Consider the following 16,359-nt stretch of genomic DNA (forward strand, 5'->3'; position numbering starts at 1 on the left):
AATAACAATCACATGTCTTTGAGACAACCCACTGAACTTACTCAAACGGTTATTTCAATGATATGATAGTTCAGTGTAAATAATTACGTGTATAACGCTTTCTTCAGTAATTATTGCAATTGCAATCTTCATGCAGAACTTAGAACAGTATTTACATTTCTGTTGTGCTTAGACAAGCATAAGAACGACTGCATTTTGATATTTTGTCTCATTTGAAATAAGATAAATGATAGCATGAATTCTTAGCATTACTTCTGGGTCAACCCACAATAATTCTGAATGTAGAAATCTAATTTATTTTGCAAAAGAAAATTCTCTTTTGTCCAGGTAACTGAATAGATCTATGTTGCTCAGAGACAAAGACTATGTGGAAAAGAAACTGAGGACACATTTATTATCGGGGGACCTGCCCCGATAATCACGTAGGTTCTTTTCTATTTTCCTAAGCGTCGGCTGGCTTGAGAAATAAAAGGACAGAGTACAAAAGAGAGAAATTTTAAAGCTGGGTGTCCGGGGGAGACATCACACATTGGTAGGATCCGTGATGCCCCACAAGCCACAAAAACCAGCAAGTCTTTATTAGGGATTTTCAAAAGGGGAGGGAGTATATGAATAGGTGTGGGTGACAGACATCAAGTACTTAACAGGGTAATAGAATATCACAAGGCAAGTGGAGGCACGGCGAGATCACAGGACCACAGGACCGAAGCGAAATTAAAATTGCTAATGAAGTTTTGGGCACCACTGTCATTGATAACATCTTATCAGGAGACAGGGTTTTGAGATCAACCAGTCTGACCAAAATTTATTAGGCAGGAATTTCCTCTTCCTAATAAGCCTGGGAGCGCTATGGGAGACTGGAGTTTATTTCACCTCTGCAATCTCGACCATAAGAGACAGGTACGCCCCGGGGGGGCCAGTTCAGAGACCTACCCCTAGGTGCACATTCTCTTTCTCAGGGACCTTCCATGCTGAGAAAAGGAATTCAGCGATATTTCTCCCATTTGCTTTTGAAAGAAGAGAAATATGGCTCTGTTCCGCCCAGCTCACCGGTGGTCAGAGTTTAAGGTTATCTCTCTTATTCCCTGAACAATTGCTGTCATCCTGTTCTTTTTTCAGGGTGCCCACATTTCATATTGCTCAAACACACATGCTGTACAATTTGTGCAGTTAATGCAATTATTACAGGGTCCTGAGACGATATGCATCCTTCTCGGCTGACAGGATTAAGAGATTAAAGTAAAGACAGGCATAGGAAATCACAAGGGTACTGATTGGGGAAGTGATAAGTGTCCATGAAATCTTTACAATTTATGTTTAGAGACTGCAGTAAAGACAGGCATAAGAAATTACAAAAGTATTAATTTGGGGAACTAATGAATGTCCATAAAATCTTCACAATCCACGTTCTTCTGCCATGGCTTCAGCCGGTCCCTCCGTTTGGGGTCCCTGACTTCCCACAACAATTTATTATTCTCAGGGTCTATATGTAATGGATTCATGTTCCAAGAAGCAACTCTGTATTAAAACATATTATTTTTTATTTCTACTGGGTAATGAATCACTGGCTTTTAGTTAGGGTTTGGGAATGGCTTCTAATTTTTTAAAGTGTGTTTAGCTTTGACAAACCTGATTTTTTTAAATTAAACCCATGAGTCCAATTTGGTTTCATTGTTTATGAGGCTAAACCAGGAGAAATCCCTAGTGTTTTCTTCCATTTCTCCCTTAACTAGCAAGAACACTATGAGATAACTGACATTGCCTGTTACATTGGTAAGGAATCCAGTTTCTAATGTTACAAAATAAAGTGGAGGCAGAATGTGTAAAAATAATCAATATTTGCCTGGCTGTTGGAAACCAAGTTCTAGTTCAGATTTGTCAGTCTCTTTTCTGACCCTGATGAAGTTTGTTCCACCTGTCCCATTTCATCACCCATGAAGGTGACAAATGCCCCGAGGTCTCTCTGTTTCTCAAGGAAAGAGAACACTTGTCTTATTACCAGGCCTTCTGGGTATGGGATGATGAATACCCATCGTGTTTATTTATAAGTAAAGAATTCTAAGTTTTTTTAGTTCAACAAGTTAGGAAATAAGTTTATTATTTAAAAGTAAGTATACACATCATAAAGGTAAAAAGGACCTTCAATCTTATTCAGAGCTTTGCTTCTAGAAATCGTGAAAACTATAAATTATTTTGTCAGTTATTTCTTTTTTCAAACTATGTAAGCCATATGTCTTACCATAGAAAAATTAACAAACAAAATGAAGAAAAGTTGAAAGGTTCAGAGATGGTTGTTATTGACATTTTGGTTTACTTTCCATATTTTCTATGTTCGTAGTCACATATAGGTTCATAATTTATATTAACGAAAATTGATATCTTGTGCCTATTATAATAACTGCAGTATATTATGGTGCTTTCCTTGTCAATCAAATATTCAAAATGTGTTCATAGCCATGAGGTTCCCCATTACATGCGCACACCTCAGTTTATGTACCAGTCTCTTGTTATTGACAACAATGTTCAATTCTCCAGTGATATAAATAATGCTTGGATAAATTACCTCTATTTGAGTACTTAATTATTTCCTTGGAATAGCTCTTTGGACTTAAAATATTTCAAAAGATGTGGAGATTTTTAAAGATCTTCATTGTAAAGTTTTAATATAGTTCTAGGCAAATGTACCTATCTGCCCTCTCACCAATATTATACATGTAACATTTGCTTTTTATTTAATTTTTTAAGTTTTAATTTTTGTGGGTACATAGTAGATGTATATATTTATGACGTACATGAGACATTTTGATACAGGCATGCAATGTGTAATAATCACATCAGGGTCAGTGGGGTATCCATCCCCTCAAGCATTTATCCTTTTTGTTACAAACAATCCAATTATACCCTTTTAGATATTTAAAAATGTACAATTACATTATTAAACTATAGTCACTCCTGTTATGCTGTCAAATATTAGATCTTATTCATTCTTTCCATTTTTTTGGACCCACTAACCATCCCCACTTACTTCCAAGCCCCATGACCCTTCCCAGCCACTGGAGCCATCATTCTACTCTCTATCTCCGTGAGTTAGGTTGTTTTAATTTTTAACATTTGCTTTTAAATTCTTGGTATAGTTCTTGGTTTGGCAGATCATACGTAATTTGCGATTCTATTTATTTAAGTTACGGGTGCTACTGAGTATGTTTCTTCCTTGTTTTCCATCTTTTTTTCTTTTTGGTGCATGCATTGCATGGTCTATTTTCTCATTTCAATATTACTACGATGTTTATTTTATTCTTTTGAAATCAAAACAAGGTATTAACCCTTTTTCCTATATTTACAATTCAAGTATTTTTGTTTCTCATGTTGCCATTTGAGTTATTTTGTTTCATATGTAAGAAGTAAAATTTCTGACTTTGGTGCCTTACTTTAAAAGCCTTTCTTTGCCAACAAACCCTATGTAAACATTCAGCTGTGACTTTTTTTTTTTTTTTTTTTGAGATGAAGTCTTGTTCTGTCACCCAGGCTGGAGGGCAGTGGCACAATCTCAGCTCACTGCAACCTTTGCCTCCCGAGTTCAAGCGATTCTCCTGCCTCAGCCTCCCAAGTAGCTGGCATTACAGGCATGGGCCACCATACCTGGCTAATTTTTTTGTACTTTTAGTAAAGACAGGGTTTCACCATGTTGGCCAGGCTGGTCTTGAACTCCTGACATCAGGTGATCTGCTGGCCTTGGCCTCCCAAAGTGCTGGGATTACAAGCATGAGTCACCACGCCCGGTCCAGCAGTCACTTTTTTTTTTTTTTTTTTTTTAATACTTTAAGTTCTAGGATGCATGTGCACAACATGCAGGTTTGTTACATAGGTATATACATGTGCCATGTTGGTTTGCTGCACCCATCAACTCGTCATTTACATTAGGTATTTCTCCTAATGCTATCCCTACCCCAGCCCCCCATCCCGCAACAGGCCCCAGTGTGTGATGTTCCCTGCCCTGTGTCCAGGTGTTCTCATTGTTCAATTCCTACCTATGAGTGAGAACATGTGGTGTTTGGTTTTCTGTCCTTGTGATAGTTTGCTGAGAATGATGGTTTCCAGCTTCATCCATGTCCCTGCAAAGGACGTGAACTCATCCTTTTTAATGGCTGCATAATATTCCATGGTGTATATGTGCCACATTTTCTTAATCTAGTCTATCATTGATGGACATTTGGGTTGGTTCCAAGTCTTTGCTATTGTTAATAGTGCCACAGTAAACATACATGTGCATGTGTCTTTATAGTAGTATGATTTATAATCCTTTGGGTATATACCCAGTAATTAGATCACTGGGTCAAATGGTATTTCTAGTTCTAGATCCTTAGGAATGGCCACACTGTCTTTCACAATGGTTGAACTAATTTACATTCCCACCAACAGTGTAAAAGTGTTCCTATTTCTCCACAGCCTCGCCCACATCTGTTGTTTCCAGACTTTTTAATAATCACCATGCTGACTGGCGTGAGATGGTATCTCATTGTGATTTTGATTTGCAGTTCTCTAATCAGTGATGATGAGCTTTTTTTCATATGTTTGTTGATTGCATAAATGTCTTCTTTTGAGAAGTGTCTGTTCATGTCCTTTGCCCACTTTTTGATGGGGTTGTTTGTTTTTTTCTTGTAAAATTTGTTTAAGTTCCTTGTAAATTCTGGATATTAGACCTTTGTCAGATGGGTAGATTGCAAAAGTTTTCTCACATTCTGTAGGTTGCCTTTTCACTCTGTTGGTAGTTTCTTTTGCTGTGCAGAAGTTCTTTAGTTTAATTAGATCCCATTTGTCTGTTTTGGCTTTTGTTGCCATTGCTTTTGGTGTTTTAGTCATGACGTCCTTGCCCATGCCTAAGTCCTGAATGGTACTGCCTAGGTTTTCTTCTAGGGTTTTTATGGTTTTAGGTCTAACATTTAAATCTTTAATCCATCTTGAATTAATTTTTATATAAGGTGTAAGGAAGTGATCCAGTTTCCAGCTGTGACATTTTAATTTTATTGTTTACAGTCATTGCCTGCATTCTTCTGGATTCATTTAGGTGTATCTGTAAGTCAAGGCTCTGCTTGTCTCTGCGTCTGATTGGTGAATCCACTGTTGTATTTACTGAGAAGTGATACTATTAAAGTTTTCTAATGTCAGATTATCTTTGTATTTTGGGAAAATGTTAATTGTGGTCATGGGATATCTGCCTGTCACTTTTCTTTTGCACTGATTTTTTTGATAAACACTTATGTTAAAGCTTTATTTCCCTTTTCAGAGTGCCTGTGGAGGAAGTGAGCACAACTGTGTTTGTGTAAGAATGTCAGCTGCAGTAGGCAGCACATGCTGAGAGCCTCTGCTGGTCCCTGACAGGAGACTGTGCTCAGCCTTGGGTGGGAGCTGAGCAGCGAAGACACTGTGGGATCAACTAGGAGGAGAGAGATGGCACGGGGTGTATGGACATGGGGTGGGCTCTTCCTCTTGGGAGTCAGTTCTTTGTAATGGGATGATGGCTACAGGGCCCCTCGTTTCTCTCACAACTCTGGTTTCTCACACAGCACACTGATCTGGATTTCAAATTCATGTAGATGAAGGTGCAAACCCAGTAAACATCTGTGACAAGCACTACATCCTCCCATCATCCCCATGAGCAGCACTGGGGTTGATACAGGGCTTACCTGTCTTCATGCTGTGTTCACAGTGTTTCTAAAAAATGGCAGACATATGATTAAGGCCGATGTCTGAGAGCTCTGTCAGAGTAGTGGTGACATCACCCAATTATTCCTAAGACTTTGGGAAGGCGCACTGGGGGAGTCAGCACTCCAGTACCCATTTCCTGAGAGAATTCAGGCTTTTTGCTGTAACAAATTACCACACACTTCTTGGCTTAAACCATACACATTTATTATCTTAGAGTTCTGGAGGTCGGAAGTCCAACAGGAGTCTTGCTGGGCTAAAATCCGGGTGTCAGCCAGGCCAGCTCCTCTTGAGGTTCTGGGGGGACCTGTTTCTCAGCGTTTCCCAGCTTTGGAGGGTCCTGCCTGCCTTGGCTTGTGGCCCCACCTCCATCTGCAAAGCCAGCAGCAGAGGGTGGGGTGGGGGTGTCTCTGATGCTGCATCTCTGGCTCAAGGTTCTCTGGCTTAAGGATTCTTGTGATTAGAGTGGGCCATGGCTAGTCCAGGATCACCCCTGTCTCATCTCAGGACCCTCGGCTTCTCCCCTTTGCAAAGTCCCTCTGCCACGTGAGGTCACCAGTTCTCAGCTTCTGAAGATCACAGTGTAGACTTCTTTGGGGGTCATTATTCTGCTGCCAGAGGACTTGTTTTTTATTTAAATGTATGCATACCTTTCATCTTTAGAGATTTTTTACCATGAATTTAGACAAAATTTCTGTATTTCCTGGGAAAATAGTTGCAAAGGAAGTTTTTCATCTTTTATCTCAGAACATGACAGGTTGGATTATCCTCTTTGCCATTTTCAAAGTGGTAAAAAAGAAAAAAATTATTTATGGAGCTGGTGGCTCCTCAGTGGGACGAGAATTCGTGCCTTTTCATTGGTGCAGTGGGCTCGCCCTTGTGTGGGACACAAAGAGGCCTGGAGACGTTGCCCAATTCAATCAGTAACCAAGGAGTGGGATTCATTAGGGGAAGCAGAAACCAGGGCTGAATCACGTTCCCAGGCAACTCAGCGTTGCCTAGTACAGCAAGCTCGTCTCAGGATGCGATCCTATTCAGTCATTTTGTGTCTCCACTCATGGAAGAAGCGGAGGAGTAGACCATGGGCTGACGAGTCCCAGTAGAGCAGTGCTGGCTTTTGTGACCCCATACGCCCCTGCCCCTCACGTGGGGCAGAGCCAGTCCTGTATGCCAGCGTGTGGCTGTTTTAATTTGTGGGCTTTAACATGGCAAAATATGAGCCAGACATAAAGACAAGCTGAGAAGTTTAAGCCATTATAGTTCCATGAAGTTCATAATAGGCTCTGAGCAAATGCAGGCCGACGCATGCGCCTGCGTTCCTCAGTGCCACAAGCACATCATTCAGGACATTTTTGATAAACAGAATTAGTGCTATTCAGCTTAAACATTAAGTGCAAATCTCATTGCTGTCTTCCACCTACCTGCACTTTAACTTGTGATTGTTTTAAGAGTGGTTAGATCTTTCTACCTTTAAAACACTCTGTCTTCCTTGACCAAATCAGTGCAAGAAAAGGAAACCTTCTGGGAAATGCAGTCCTGGACCTCCTCCTTGTTGTTAGGGAGGAGGGGGTCAAGTGGGTGCTATGCCCTATTGGGTACTACACTCAGTACCTGAGTGACAGGATCCTATTGGGTACTATGCTTAGTACCTGGATGTCAGGATCATTTGTACCCCAAACCTCAGCCTCATGCAGTATATCCATGTAACAAACCTGCACATGTAACTGTGAACCTACAATAAAGGTTGAAATCGTTTAAAAATAAAAACAAAAACAAACTTTCTAGAATGAGACTTCATTAACCCAAGCAAGGCTGTCACATTGTGTCATGTGTGTATGTGTGCCTGTCTCTGTGTGTGCATGTATGTTAGTGTGCACATGTCTACATTATGTTGGGGTGCACAGGTGCATGCAGGTTACTGCTCACATGTGTGCACGTGTTAGTGTGCATGTACATTGGTGTGCACGTGTGTTAATGTGCATGGGTGTTTGTGGAGGGGGGGCTGCTTTCATATGGATGGAGTTAATGCTCCTCGTCTGGTACTATGCACTGAATTGAATTCACCAAACAACTGAGTAGTGAGGAATAAAACTTTATTTGAAATATTGCCTGCCATTTAAAACATTTACTTTTAAATATATGTTTCTCTTTATATTCTTGAAATATTACCCACTTCTATTCAAATATTATCTGCTTCCAAAATCTAGTAAGCCAACATTTGGGGTTTGAAGTGGCTTTCTCCAGAGACATTGGGAGAAATGAAGTGAAAAATCAAAACGTGACGACATCGCTCCCAGGCCAGGCCCTGTTTTAGATTCCCCACTGTGCTCCACGCCGCCCCCTAGAATGCTCCCCACCCCACCCCTCTCTCCATCCTCCTCTCCCATCTTGACATTTCAGGGTTTTGGTGGTGGCTTTGTAGTCCGTGGTCCCCCGTGCTCCTGTGTCCGGGGGTTCGTTTGTGGCTGGCCCTGCTGACAGGGCTTCTCTCCGCAGTGCAGGTTTTGAGGCACTCTTAAAACGAGTTCTCTTCCTGAACTTCAGGTTTGCTACCTGTGAACTTGGAATTAAATGCTTTTCTCTGTGCTAGGCTGCGTCACCAAATGTCTGAAATACTTAGTTATTAAAGAGTATTTATGGCTGTTAATTTACAGTTAATTCAGGCTTTCCCTTCTCTGGAGTTAATGCTTTCTCCCCGTACCAGCCGGTCTGTGGCACGTTCTTTCGTGTGGGTCCAGGCTCACCGTCGCTGTCTCAGAACTGCTTTCCTGTTACGCTGCCGTAACTGTGATGTTTGTGTATCCATCCCTTCATGTATCAAACGCAGACCTTTTCTCACAGGTTTGGTCATTTTTGGGTGTAAGACACGTTCCTTCCTTGGAAGACTTTTTGTCCATGAGTGTGAATGGATCCGCACTTAACTCAGAATAAATGCCGAGATGTAAAGGACACCCGCAGCCATGGAGCACAGCGGCGGCGCAACAGCTGTGTTGTTCCTGAACGCTTTTTCTCTGGTCTTAAATTTAGACACCGAATCCTGCAGTGTCAGGAAAAGCTGGAGAATGCAGCTGCGGGCCGGGGACTCGGCCGGAAAGCCCCGGCCGCCTCCTGCTTCCAGTGCCCCGCAAGGCTCGGGCGGGAGATGACTGTCCCCGTCCATGTTCTTTCCTGTGGAGTAGACGCTGTGCAGCCATCGGGTGAGAAGATATCGGCTTGGTCCTGGGCCCTGCCTTGCGGGCGTCCGTGGGATAGCAGGTCTTGGGGCGCTGGGCCTTGTCCGGGAAGAGGCACTGGATGGGGCGATGCTCTGTAGGTCCTGCAGGCGCCCTGGCAGGGATGGGGTCCGAGGGCTCCTGTGTGCCAGGCTCCTGAGATCTCCTGGCAAGCGTTCGAGGCCTGGCAGGTGCGGGGGCACACAAGGCTGAGGTTCTGCCGGGGTGACCCTCTGCAGGCCAGCGTCTTGTGGGAATAAAGCCCGAGCTGGAGAACGCGGCCTGTGGGCAGGGGGTGGGGTTGGGGTGCTCCTACTTCCGTTTCCCCGGCCTACAGGCGCTGCCCTTTGACCCTGGAAGGGCTTTGGAGAGAGGGCCCTGCTGGGGCCAGGGCCGCGTTGCTAAGGAGACGAGGGCGTTTCATGTGAACACCACGTTAACAAGCTGCTTATTTAAAGATGGCATCTAACGGAGATCTTTTGTTTCCCTCATCACTTTACCGAAGGACCATACCAGACTCTGCGCTCGTCTCCTTTCATGTTTTGCTTCCGTTCTGCCTCTCCTCGCGTGTCTCTGCCAGCGCACATGCACACACCTGCTGCTGTTCTCCTTAGCAGATCCCACCCTAACATTCTGTGGTAGGAAAACAATGTTCTTCTCTTACTTGGCTAGATAATGTCATGGTTAGAAACACAGATTCTGGAGCCAGATTCCCGGGGTTCGAGTCCTATCTCGACCACGTCCCATCTCCTGGTCAGGGTTAGGGCGCTACCCCCAGCATCTCCATGTTCCCATCTGTGACACGTGGGTGGCAGCGCCTTCCTCCTGGCGGGGATCCCGGGAGCGGATGCGCTCAGGCCTCGGGATCTCGCGGGCCGTGTGCCCAGTGCTGCTGGCATGAGCTCGGCCTGGTGTTCGAGGCAGCCTGGCCAGTCCTCGGACCTGTGCAGCCTGCAGAAGAAGGGGCCGCACCTTGTGGATAAGGAGTGTGTCATTCATCTTTGTGTTCCAGCCACTTTTCGTGGTTCCTGACTCATAATAAATGTTTCATTGAATTTATTAAACACCAGTTTTGACCAAGACTCCAAACTGAAGCACGATGAGAATACTAGAGAATGTAATGTTAAAAAATTATTTCTCAGAATCCTTCTTTTCAACATTTTTATAGCGTGTTCATCACCATCCCTAGTTTAGTAAGTAGCGGTGCAGACGTGTTTTTATTTGCCTGCCTGACCTAAGGCCGTGCTCAGGCCGCAGGCAGCGGTCTCTGGTCCATCCTGGCTTCCCAGGCTGGCTGCTGTGTTGGGCGCCTTGTAGAAATTTGTTTGTGTGTATGTGTGTGTGTGTGTGTGTGTGTATATAATATGTATATATAAATATATATAAAATATATAATTTTTTTTTTAGACGGAGTCTCACTCTGTTGCCCAGGCTGGAGTGCAGTGGTGCGATCTCAGCTCACTGCAACTTCTGCCTCCCGGGTTCAAGCAATTCTCCTGCCTCATCCTCCTGAGTAGCTGGGATTACAGGCATGCATCACCACGCCCGGCTAGTTGTTTTTTGTTTTTTTTTTTTTCTTTTTTAAGTAGAGAGGGGGTTTCGCCATGTTGGCCAGGCTGCTCCTGAGCTCAAGTGATCTGCCTGCCTTGGCCTCCCAAAGTGCTGGGGTTACAGGCGTGAGCCACTGTGCCCAGCCTGAAATTTATATATATTAATATTTGGTAAACAAATGTTAAATTAGCTACTCTGTGTGGATCCTGTAGTGTGGACGATGGTGGAAATTGAATTAAATTTATGCAGACTCCTGATGATGTCCTAAACATACTTTACAATAATTTAAGGGATGCTGGCATCGTACTTCTTGTCTTTCCCCTCCCTTTGTTCCTTTTAAGTTCTTAATGTTTTTAAAATGAAAAGTGGTCAGAACCTTTTCCTCTTTCAGCATAACGACTTCATTGTGTTTAGGAATCTCATGGTTAAAACCTAAGAGAAATCAGCTACTCCATTCACACAAATCCTTATTCACTTGTTCTGGGATGTGGTCTTGGCATCAGTATTTTATTTTTTTATTATATTTTATTTTATTTTAATTTTATTTTTAGTGCTCCCTGAAAAATTTCATTGTACAGCCAGGGTTGTGAACCACTACTGTACATTGATAATATATGGGTCTTCAGGAATTTCAATTAATCCATAATATACATTGTTTGATAAGCTTTAAAATAAAAAATATTAATTATAGATCCAGTGGATTTCCCTTTCTAGCTTGGACAAGTGCTCAGGGACACCAAAAAAAGGGAAAAGCTCTTGTACATTTTTTTTTTACTCCTGACTATATTGTCATGTTAATGCAATTAAACTTCTTTTACTGCAAACAGGGATCCCTTAAGACTCAAAAGAACAAGTAATGAAGAACTTTCTTTAATGAGAGAAAAAGAGCCTTCTTGCTTGCACATCATGGCTGACGGCAGAAAGAAGTAAAGGCAATTAATTAAAGCTGGACTGTGATTCCCCTGCTGGTGACTTCCTGGGGAGCGAGAGCATGTCTGTGGTTATGACAAACAGCATCTGAAATGGCGAGGTGCTGCCTTTAGCAAATCTGTAAGCAGAAGTTCATCACAGTGATTAGATGCTCAAAATTCTCATCAGTGAGGTTACCTGTTATTTTGTTAAATCAGGAAAAGCCACATATGACCACAGTGGGATATCACCTCACACCTGTTAGGATGGCTGTTACTGAAAACCAAAAGAAAACAAGTGTTGGTGAGGAGGGGGAGAAAAGGGAACCCTAGTGCTCTGTTGGTGGGAATGTAAATTAGAGTAGCAATTATGAAAACAGTATGCAGGTTCCTAAAAAAAATAGAAATAGAACTACCATGTGATCCAGCCGTCCCACTTCTTGGCACAAATCCAAAGGAATTGCACTCAGTGTGTTGAGATGTCTGCATTCCTATGTTCACTGCAGCATTATTTATAGTAGCCAAGATATAGAATCATTCTAGATGTCTAACAACAGGTGAATGGATAAAATGTGCTGATATAGATGCACAATGGAATACTATTGAGCCTTTAAAAAGACAAAGACATTTCTGTCATTTGGAGGAATCTGGAGGACTTTATGCTGAGCGAAATAAGCCAGGCGCAGAAAGACAAATGCCACCTGTGCTCACTTATATGTGGAATCTAAAACATTGAGCTCACAGAAGCAGAGAGTACCATGGTGGTTCCCAGGCCTGGTCTTAGGATGGATGGGAAGAGTCTGGCCAAAGGGTACAGAAGTTTGGTTGTGAGATGAATCACCACCTCGGTGAAAAACAGGATGGTGCCACCTGTCCCTCTGTGTGCCTCGTCCTGGTCAGCACCCTTGCTCCCACCCTAAGTGCCCCTGTCCTGATGCTCATGATTATGACTTCTTCATGTTTATTCACCGTTTCATCACCCACATGGGCATTCCCTGCCTCTGCAGCTCAGCCTTCAGATCTGTCTCCACTGAGATGCCTTTTAGGTCTCTTTTGATCCACGGCCTCTTCTCCTGCTCCTCTTTCCCCAGGCCGTTTGGCCTGTACGTCTCCCCACACTCTGGGTTCTGCAAGCGCATCTACACGGTGCACACCTGCATGTCTCCGTACACTCTGGATTGTGTGAGCGCGTCCACACGGTGCACGCCTGCACGTCTCCCCACACTCTGGATTCTGCGAGCGCGTCCACACGGTGCACGCCTGCACGTCTCCCCACACTCTGGATTCTGCGAGCGCGTCCACACGGTGCACGCCTGCACGTCTCCCCACACTCTGGATTCTGCGAGCGCGTCCACACGGTGCACGCCTGCACGTCTCCCCACACTCTGGATTCTGCGAGCGCGTCCACACGGTGCACGCCTGCACGTCTCCCCACACTCTGGATTCTGCGAGCGCGTCCACACGGTGCACGCCTGCACGTCTCCCCACACTCTGGATTCTGCGAGCGCGTCCACACGGTGCACGCCTGCACGTCTCCCCACACTTTGGATTCTGCGAGCGCGTCTACACGGTGCACGCCTGCACGTTTCCCTACACTCTGGATTCTGCGAGCGCGTCCACATGGTGCACGCCTGCACTTTTCCCCACACTCTGGATTCTGGGAGCGCGTCTACACGGTACATGCCTGCACGTCTCCCTACACTCTGGATTCTGCGAGCGCGTCCACACGGTGCACGCCTGCACGTCTCCCCACACTCTGGATTCTGCGAGCGCGTCCACACGGTGCACGCCTGCACGTCTCCCCACACTCTGGATTCTGCGAGCGCGTCCACACGGTGCACGCCTGCATGTCTCCCTACACTCTGGATTCTGCGAGCGCGTCCACACGGTGCACACCTGTATGTCTCCCTACACTCTGGATTCTGTGAGTGCATTTACACGGTGCACGCCTGCACGTTTCCCCACACTCTGGATTCTGCGAGCGCGTCTACACGGTACATGCCTGCACGTCTCCCCACACTCTCGATTCTGTGAACACGTCTACATGGGGCACATCGTGCATTCGTCTGTGTTTTCAGCCTTGGCAGCTGGATCCAGAGACTGGATCCCCTTGTGTATTCTGTTTGGCAGGACTCAGCAGTGGCTGTGCCCTTTCATCCAGGGACGCTGTGTCTAGCTCTCACTCTCTGGTGATGTCAGAAAGTATTGACTGATGAGAGCCTAGGCCCATTAATTCACTAGGAGTTGGGGAGTGGTAATATTTTGATTTTACCTTTTATTTCTCATATATAAATTGAACTTGTTTCTATAAAACAACAGCCCTTCATCTATTTCATTATGAAATGGAGCAGTTCATATGGAAAAGGCAAGATAAATCCTCGATTCTTCCCCTGAATTTAAAAGTTATCAAGGAATGAATTGGTTTATCTCACCCTCCAAAGAGGACCAATTCATTAAAACGGTTATGATGAACTCATGCATGGCGCACGTTTGGCATCTCAGTGCATTGTGATGGTCGCTCATCCTGACGCTCACACTTGTCCATCTTTGGCCAGTGGGGGCCTCTTCACTTGGCTCTGAGTCCTTGGGACACAACCCTGGCAGCCTTTCGTAGATGTTCATGTTGCCCATATTCTGTCCCAGACTTGGAATTATCTGTTATCTAAGGAACTCTGCTGTTTAGTGAAACTGGCATTTCAAGAACACGACCCGGTTACTAGGGGTGTACGTTGCTACATGAAGGTCATTGTTTCTAGACCCTTGTAAGGCAGAGCTAGAAATACATGTGATTTTTTTTTTGAGATGAGGTCTTGCTATATTGCCCAGGGTGGAGTGCAGTGGCCATTCACAGGTGTGATCTTGGGTCACTGCAGCCTTGAACTCCTGGGCTCAAGCGATTCTCCTGCCTCAGCCTCTGAGTAGCTGGGACCGCAGGTGCCGCCCCCCACACCCGGCAGCAGGTGAGTTTTTGAAGACTAACCGTCACATGAATTAATACTGATACTTCCAATTTGAACTTAGGAATTTGGAATACTTTTTACTATGGCTATTTCATATCACATTTGTGTCTCTTGTTTTCCATGCTAGGTATCCTGATTCTCGAGAGCACAGGATATAATAGAGTTACAGCAGTCCATAATTAAACATTTCCTCTATCCTACATCATGTGCCTGGCAGTCTTAACATAACGATTTGGACACTGCCACCAGTGTGACTACGGAAGACACCAAGTACCTTTCTCACATGCTCCCCTGTGTCCTGCATTTTTAATGCCATAATATATTGGCATTGTCAGAGCAGATCCATTAAATTCTGCATTCTTTCCCTTCTGGTAATCACTTAGGGTTCTATGAGTAGCCACATGTTTACTCCTAACTACTCGTCCTTAGGTCGCCATCTCTCTAGTCCTTGTGGTTCTCTGGAGTTTGTTGTCTAGAACTTTCTTCAAAACATATTCATGGGAACAATACTCCTTGAGCGATTGTACGTTGCTGTCAGTTTTTCTGTGTCCTTTATACCTGAAGACCAGGTTTGCTGCGTATGCAATGATTGGCTTATATTTACTTTCCTGGCATATCTTAAAGATGTTATTCTGTATTCCCCTAACCTAACACAATGCTGTTGAACAGGCACGTGCTTGAATCTGTTTCCCTTAAAAGTAACTCATCTTTCTGTCTCAACGCCAGAGGACTTTTACTCTCTTTATTGCTCAGTAACGGTATTATTATGTGCCTTGGTGGTCATCGTTCTGATTTAATTTCTCTGGTACATGGTCGTTCTTTCAATATGTAGTCAAACTTTTAAGTTTTCAGGGAACGTTTACGAATTATAGCTTCTAACATTTTGTTCTCTTCTGCTGCTCTGATTTTCACTTTTAGAGATTCTTATTATCTGTTCTTTCTGTTTTGCCTGTCTAATATTTGCAACTTCATTTTTTGGGGATTTTCTTCTTTTTTCAACCTTATATTTTTCTTAATGCATCATTTGTGATTATTCATTCTTGTTTCCTCTATTTTATTCTTCATTTCTGAAATGAGCTGTCATTTATTTCTAAACGTTTTTCCCTGAGTTCTGTTGCTTCAGCTTTAAGTTTTTCTAATTCTGATTTACATTGTTCTTTTCTGCCTTATGTAATCTTCTTAGTGTCTTCCAGCTTGTTTTACAGCAGCCGGTGGTAGTTTTGACTCACTTTGTGGATGTGCCTCTCTGGCGGGCTTTCGCTCACTTTATGGATGTACCTCTGGCGGGCTTTCGTTGTGTGCAGGCAGGGGTGTTATTCGGCTTTTTTGTTTTCTGTAATAATTTTTATTGGATTGATTTGACCAGGATGATAGCTTTCTGTTGCTTATTTTTATGTGATCTTAATGTAGGTGAACTTTGGGAAGAAAGCAGAATCCGGGAGAGCTTTTCCGACTTCCTAGAGCTCTCCCTTCTGTCGTTTTCATGTGAAGTTAAGAAGGTGGCAGTTTGACTTCTGAGATTTCCTGGCTCTGTTCCCTGCCCCTGGTTTTATTGACGTGTTTTTCCCTCAGTCCTATTATCATCTCAGGGTGAGAGCCTTTCCTGGAAGGGCGGTGTGGCTGATCAGCATCAGGAGTTCACGGGGGCTGTCTTTACGGGGAGACCCCTCTGCACACTGACTGCTGGTGGGCAAATCCCCTTCCGGCTTTGGGGCCTGGCTTGGGCCACTGTGCATGGTGTGGAGTGGGCACCACGGCCTCTCCTGGGGTTCCACCGGGCCTGGCCTGTCCCTCACCAGCCACTGCCCCTCTGTCCTTGGACACGGACGCCACGTAGATCCTGGGGCACTTCCCCGTATTTTGCACTCCCTGGGCTGTCTGGTCACCTGGTTGCTGTAAATGGTTTTTGGGTTTTGCTATCTTGTTGCTTTGTGTGATGTGATGTGTGATATGATTGGTCTGGGAGGATTGAAAGCTGTGTCGCTGCATTCACCACATTCCTCACGCAGAGTAGTTGTAAAGGAG

The 16,359-nt window shown here is 44.2% G+C and overlaps 1 protein-coding gene across 2 annotated transcripts in view, besides 1 other annotated feature; it reads left to right on the forward strand.

The window, feature by feature from the left end:
- DLGAP2 (DLG associated protein 2) overlaps positions 1-16,359 on the forward strand; it is a 970,849-nt gene that overhangs the window by 89,788 nt on the left and 864,702 nt on the right. The gene's annotated exons all lie outside the window — the stretch shown is intronic.
- Positions 12,942-13,711: an enhancer, noted in NCBI's record as "H3K27ac-H3K4me1 hESC enhancer chr8:790357-791126 (GRCh37/hg19 assembly coordinates)". NCBI's record gives its function as "activates a minimal SCP1, AML or CMV promoter by ChIP-STARR-seq in naive and primed H9 embryonic stem cells {active_cell/tissue: H9 hESC(naive and primed)}" and the evidence as "EXISTENCE:reporter gene assay evidence [ECO:0000049][PMID:30033119]".

Source organism: Homo sapiens, chromosome 8, assembly GCF_000001405.40.
Source record: "Homo sapiens chromosome 8, GRCh38.p14 Primary Assembly".
Taxonomy (NCBI): Eukaryota; Metazoa; Chordata; class Mammalia; order Primates; family Hominidae; genus Homo; species Homo sapiens.